At 33.7% G+C, this 7,422-nt stretch overlaps 1 annotated feature.

Moving 5' to 3' along the window:
- Window positions 5,375-6,069: an enhancer, noted in NCBI's record as "OCT4-NANOG hESC enhancer chrX:94347448-94348142 (GRCh37/hg19 assembly coordinates)". NCBI's record gives its function as "activates a minimal SCP1, AML or CMV promoter by ChIP-STARR-seq in naive and primed H9 embryonic stem cells {active_cell/tissue: H9 hESC(naive and primed)}" and the evidence as "EXISTENCE:reporter gene assay evidence [ECO:0000049][PMID:30033119]".

Here is a 7,422-nt window from a genome sequence, read left to right on the forward strand (position 1 = left end):
TGTTGTCCCAGGTAAACTACAATCATGGCAGAAGGGAAAGCAAACACATCCCTCCACATGGCGGCAGCAAGGAGAAGTGCCAAGGGGGAAAACCCCTTATAAAGCCATTAGATATTTTGAGAACTCACTATCACCAGAACAGTATGAGGATAACTGTTCCCATGATTCAATTACCTCCCGCAGGGACCCTCTCATGACACATGCGGATTATGGGAACTACAATTTAAGATGAGATTTCTGTGGGGACACAGACAAACCGTATCAATGGAATACTACACAGCCATAAAAAGGAACAGAGTAATGGCATTTGCAGTAACCTGGATGGAATTTGAGACCATTATTCTAAGTTAAGTAACTCAGGAATGGAAAAAAAAAGCATCATATGTTCTCACTTATAAGGGGGAGCTAAGCTGTGAAGATGCAAGGCATGAGAATGCTACAATGGGCATTTGGGACATGGGGGAAAGGGTGGGAGGGAGTGAGGGATAAAATTCTATATATATAGGTACAGTTTACACTGCTAGGATGACGGGTGCACCAAAATCTCAGAAATCACCAGTAAAGAACTTATTCATGTAAATATAGACATATAAATATATATATGTACATGTAAATATATATATGTACATGTAAATATATATGTACATGTAAATATATATGTACATGTAAATATATATATATGAAATATAATATACAATAGAACTCGAATACACCAGGCAGTAGGTTTTACAATGGAAACCTTACAGGCCGGGAGAGAGTTGCATAACATATTTCAACTTCTAAGGGAAATAAGCCTTTAACCTAGAATATCTGGTAAAAATATTTTTCAAACATGAAGTAGAAATACATACTTTTCCCAACAAAAGCCAAAGCGTTTTATTAACACCACATCTGTTCTACAAGAAATACTAAAGGGAATACTTCAGTCAGAAGTACAGAATGTCAATGAGTAATAAGAAATCATCTGAAGGTAGAAAACTTGCTAGTAATAGTAAGTATAGAGAATATTAAAACACTATAACTGAGGTGTGTAAACTATTCATAGGTAGAAAGACTAAACCATAAACCAATCAAAAATCATTTTTAAAATTTTTCAAGACATAAAGAATATAATAAGAAATAAATAGTAATAACAAAAAGATAAAAAATAGGGGGACAAACTTAAGGTGTAGAGTCTTTAGAACTTTTCTCTTTGCTTGTTTGTTTCTGCAAACAGTGTTAAGTTGTTATCAGGTTAAAATAGTGGGTTATAAGATAGTATTTGCAGGACTCATGGTAAGCTGAAACAAAAATCATACAAACAAATACACAAAAATTAAAAAGGAGGAAACTAAATCAGATCACCATATAAAATTACCTTTGATAAAAGGAAGAGAGAAATAAATGAAAGAAGGAAGAGAACAACAACAACAAAGACAACCGGGAAACAAATAACCAAATGGCCGAGTAAGCTTTTACATATCAATAATAATATTGAATGTAAATGGGCTAAAGTCTCCAATCAAAAGACATAGAGTGGCTAAAAGGATATAAAAACAAGACCTAATAATCTATTGCCTATAGTAAACACACTTCACATGCAAAGAAACATATAGACTGAAAACAAAAGACAAAGGGAACAAAAAACATATGCCATGTCAATGGAAACCAAAACAAAATAAATAAATAACAAGAGTAGCCATGTGTATATCAGACAAAATAGCTTTCAATACAAAAACTATAAAGGAAACAATGAAGGTCACTGTATAATGATAAAGTGGTCAATTCAGCAAGAGGATACAATAATTTTAAATATATATGCACCCAGCATTGGAAAACCCAGATATATAAAACAAATATTACTAGATCTAAAGAGAGAGATAGACTCTCTCTCTAGAGACTTCCATACCCTACTTTCAGCATTGTACAGATCTTCCAGAAATAAAATCAACACAAAAACATTGAACTTAATCTGCACTGTCGACCAATTGGAGCTAATAGGTATTTACAGCGCATTTCATTCAATGGCTATAGAACACACATTCTTTTCCTCACCACATGGAACATTGTCTAGATAAGATCATATGTTAGGTCAGAAAACAAGTCTTAAATATTCAAAACATTGAACTAACATAAAGCATCTTCTCTGACCACAATGGAATACAACCATAAATCAACAACAAGTGGAATTTTGAAAACTATACAAACACATGTAAATTAAACAATATGCTCCTGAATGACCAATGATCAATAAAGAAATTAAAAAGGAAATTGAAAATTTTCTTGAAACAAATGATAATGGAAACAAAACATACTAAAACTTTGGGGATACAGCAAAAGCAGTACTAAGAGGGAAGTTTACGGCTTTTAAGTGCTTACATCAAAAAAGAGAAAAAAACTTCAAATAAACAACCTAACTATGCATTTTAAAGAACTAGAAAAGCAAGAGCCAATCAATACCAAAATTAGTAGAAGAAAGGAAATAATAAAGATGAGAGCAAAAATAAATAAAATTAAAATGAAGAATACAATACAAAAGTTCAATGAAACAAAATGTTTTTTGAAATGTTAAACAATATTGGCAAAGCTTTAGCCAGACTAAGAAAATAGAGAACAAATCCAAATGAATAAAATCAAAAATGAAAAAAGAGACATTACAATGATACTCTAAAAATTAATAGGGTTATTGATGGCTACTATGAGCAACTACATGCCAATTAAGTTGGTAAATGTAGAAGAAATGGGCAAATTCCCAAACACATTCAACCTACCAGGATTGATCCATGAAGAAATTCAAAACTTGAACAGACCAATAATAAGTAATGATATTGAAGCCGTAATAAAAAGCCTTCCAGGAAAAAAGAAAAATCCTGGGGCCCTATGGCTCTACTGTTGTATTCTACCAAACATTTAAAAAAAGAACTAATACCATCCCCACTCAAACTATTCCAGAGACTAAAGGAGAGAATACTTCCAAACTCACCACATTAGGCCTGTATTACCCTAATACTAAAACCAGAAAAAAGACACATCACAAAAATAAAACTACAGGCCAATATCTATGATGAATATGGATGCACAAATTGTCAATAAAATACTAGAAAACTTAGTTCAATGATATATTAGAAAACAATACTTATCATGACAAAGTGGGATGTATCCCTGAGATGCAAGGAGGGTTCAACATATGCAAATAATCAATGTGATACATAATATCTAGAGAATTAAGGACAAAAACTGTATGATAATTTCAATTAATGCTGAACAAACATTTAATAGAATTCAGCTTCCGCTCATGGTAAAAACCTTTAAAACTGGGTATAGAAAGAATATGCCTGAATATAATAAAAGCCATGTATAACAAACCCACAGCTAGTATCATATCCGATGAGGAAAAACAGAAAGGCACTTCTTTAAGATCTGAAACATGAGGATAATGCCCACTTTCACCACTGTTATTCAACATAGTACTGGAAGTTTTAGCTAGAGCAATCAGACAAGAGAAAAAAAATAAAGGATGACCAAACTCAAAAGGGAGAAATCAAATTGTGCTTGTTTGAAGATGATATAATCTGCAAATTTAAATTTGAAAAAACATAAAGGCTTCACAAAAATATTATTAGAACTAATAAATTCAGTAAATCACAAGATATAAAAGCAACATACAAAAATCAGTAGCATTTCTATAGGCCAACATTAAGCAATCAGAAAAAGAAAACAAAAAAGAAATCACATTTACAATAGTCAAAATAAAACTAAATACATAGAAATTAACTTAACCAAAGAAGAGAAAGATTTTATAATGAAAACTCTAAAACACAGATTAAAAAATTGAAGAGAACACCAAAAGATAAAAAATGATTCCATGTTTATGGGATAGAAGAATCAATATTTTTAAAATGGCCATATTACCCAAAGCAAAATAAAGATTCAATGCAATCTCTTTCAAATTTCAATGACATTCTTCACAGAAATAGAAAAAACAATCCTGGTTGAGAACAGTGGCTCATGCCTGTAATCCCAGTAGTTTGCCAGGTCAACACAAGCAGATCACTTGAGCCCGGGAGTTTGAGACCAGTCTGGGCCACATGAAAAATCACCACATAAACAATTTATGTGGAACCATAGAAAATGCAGAATAGACAAAGCTACGTTAACCCAAAAGAACAAAATTGGTGATATCACATTACCTGACTTCAAATTACACTAGAGAGCAATAATAACCAAAACAGCACAGTACTATCATAAAAGCAGACACATAGACCAAAGGAACAGAATCGAGAGCACCAAAACAAATCCACACACTTACAGTGAACTCATTTTTGACAAAGGTATAAAGAACATACACTGGGGAATAAATAGTGCTAGGAAAATGAAATAGCCACATACAGAAGAATGAAACTAGACTACTACCTCTTGCTGCAAACAAAAATCAAATCAAAATGGATTAAAGACTTAAATCTAATACCTCAAACTGTAAAACTACTGCAATAAAACTTTGGAGAAAATCTATAGCACATTGGTCTGGGGTAAAAATTTTTTGAGCAATACCTCACATGTACAAGCAACCAAAGCAAAGGAAACAAATGAGATCACATCAAGTTAGGAAGCTTCTGCAGAGCAAAAGTAGTGTGGGGTTAAGGGGAATGGGGAAGGTTAATTTACACACAAAAAAAATACCTAGAATGAATAAGTAAGACCTAGTGTTTGATAGAAAAACAGTGTTTCTGTGGTCAATAATAATATAATTGCATATTAAAATATTTTAAAAAGTATACTTGGATTGTTTGTAACACACAAAAAATAAATGCTTGAGGGGATGGTTATCCCACATTACATGATATGATTATTATGCATTGAATGCCTGTATCAATAAATCTCATTTACCTCTAAATAGACACCTACAATGTATCCACAAAAATCAAAATAAAAAAAAATCAATCAATAGAGTACACCACACTAACAGAATGAAGGCAATAGAAATCACAATTATTTCAATTGATGCATAAAAAGTCTTTGACAAGATTTAACGTATCCTTCATGATAAAAACACTTAAACAAGAAATAGAAGGAAAGTACCTCGACACAATATGGAACATTTATGAAAAGCCCACAGTTAACATCAGACTCAATGGTGAAAGACTCAGAGCTCTTTATCTAAGATTTGGAACATAACATAAGTGCCTCCTTTTGCCACTTCTATTCAACATAGTACTTGAACTTTTAGTCAGAGAAATTAGGCAAGAAAGGAAAATAAAAGGCATCCAAACTGAAAAGGAAGCAAAATTATTATATCGGTTCACAGTGAAAATAATATTGTATGTAGAAAATCCCAAAAAACACACAAAAAAATTCCAGAGCTAATTTAAAAATTAGCAAATTTGCAAAATACAAAGATCAATGCCCAAAATTAGTTACATTCCTTTACAATAATAATAAACAATCTGAAAGAAAATTAAGAAGTCATTTACATTTACAATGGCACTGAAAAAATAAATTAGGAATAAACTAAGTGAGTGAAAGACTTGTACACACACACACACATACACACAAATGTTGCTGGAAATAATTGAAGACACAAAAACATGGAAAGACATTCCATGTTCATAGATTAGAAGACTTATGTCAGGCCTCTGAGCCCAAGCCAAGCCATCGCATCCCCTGTGACTCGCACGTATATGCCCAGATGGCCTGAAGTAACTGAAGAATCACAAAAGAAGTGAATATGCCCTGCCCCACCTTAACTGATGACATTCCACCACAAAAGAAGTGTAAATGGCCGGTCCTTGCCTTAAGTGATGACATTACCTTGTGAAAGTCCTTTTCCTGGCTCATCCTGGCTCAAAAAGCACCCGCACTGAGCACCTTGTGACCCCCACTCCTGCCTGCCAGAGAACAAACCCCCTTTGACTGTAATTTTCTTTTACCTACCCAAATCCTATAAAATGGCCCCACCCTTATCTCCCTTCGCTGACTCTCTTTTCAGACTCAGCCCGCCTGCACCCAGGTGAAATAAACAGCCTTGTTGCTCACACAAAACCTGTTTGGTGGTCTCTTCACACGGACGTGCATGAAAACTTAATATTGTTAATATTTTTACACTTCGCAAAGAAATCTATAGATTCAAGGAAATCCACATCAAAATCTTAATGGTGCCTTCTGCAAAATAGTAAAATTTATCTGAAATCTATTTAGGATTATAAGGGACTCAGATTAGTGAAAATAATTTTTAAAAAGAACAAAGTTGGAGTTCTGACACTCCCTCATTTCAAAAATTACTGCAAAAGTACAGTAACCAAAACATTGTGGTAATGGCTTAAAGAAATACATATAGTCAAATACTATAGAAGAGACAGTTCAGCAATTAACCCTTGTGTATATAACCAAATGATTTTTTACAAGAGTGGCAAGTCCATTCAATGGGGAAGAAAGTCTACTCAACAATGTTCTTGAGAAAACAATGTCCACTTGCAATAGAAAAGTGAACCCTTACCTTACACCATATATAAAAAGTAATTCAAAATAAATACCTGAACATAAAAGCTAAAACTCTAAAACTCTTAAAATTAAAACAAAAGGAAAACAAAATTGTTTATATCATTGGCTTTTACAAGTACTTCTTGGATATTGTACCAAAAGCACAAGCAATTTAAAAAATAGAAAAGTTTGACTTCTTCAAATCAAAACTTTTGTGCTTCAAAGGACAGTATGAACAAAGTGAAAAGGCAATCCATGGAATGTGAGAAAATACTTTCAAATTATATATTGAATAAGTGATTAATATTCGGAATATACAAATGACTGATACTACTTTTTAAAAGATTCAAAAATCATCAAAGTTCTTAAATAGACATTTCTCCAAAGAACACATACAAATGGCCCATAACCAGAGTAACATCAGCAAAATGATGGTATAGGAGCTCTTCTACTTGTATCCACCCACAGCAACAATTGGTTCACAGCTATCCATTGACAAAAGTGTCTTTGTGGGAGTTTTCGGATTTAGGTAGAATTTTGTAATATCCCAGTAGAGCCTGAGACCTAGGAAGGCCATTCTGAGAAGACAAATCATAACAAGTTTCAGATTTGCAAACTACAGTTCCAGCCTCAGACCCAGAAATGACCGTTTCCCCTTGGGGACTTGGTTACAACCCCTTTTGTCCTTAGTCATTCTACCACCATAACTATCTGTCAAGGAACCCGGGGATCACTTGCCTCAGGTTACAGGGATGCCAACCTTGGCCCTGGCTGTGGACTTAGAAAGGACCCTGAAACCAAGCTTTAGCTTTCTCAGCTGCAGTGTGAGAAAATTACTGCTGGAAGCACAGGAATCCAGAGGGAAAAATACTGGTATGAGTCACTGGGGCAGGTATGCTGACCTTGGTCACACAGAAGACCCTAAAATGTCCCTGAGATGTGGCTCCATCCCTTCTCAGTTGTGAT

Source organism: Homo sapiens, chromosome X, assembly GCF_000001405.40.
Source record: "Homo sapiens chromosome X, GRCh38.p14 Primary Assembly".
Classification (NCBI taxonomy): domain Eukaryota; kingdom Metazoa; phylum Chordata; class Mammalia; order Primates; family Hominidae; genus Homo; species Homo sapiens.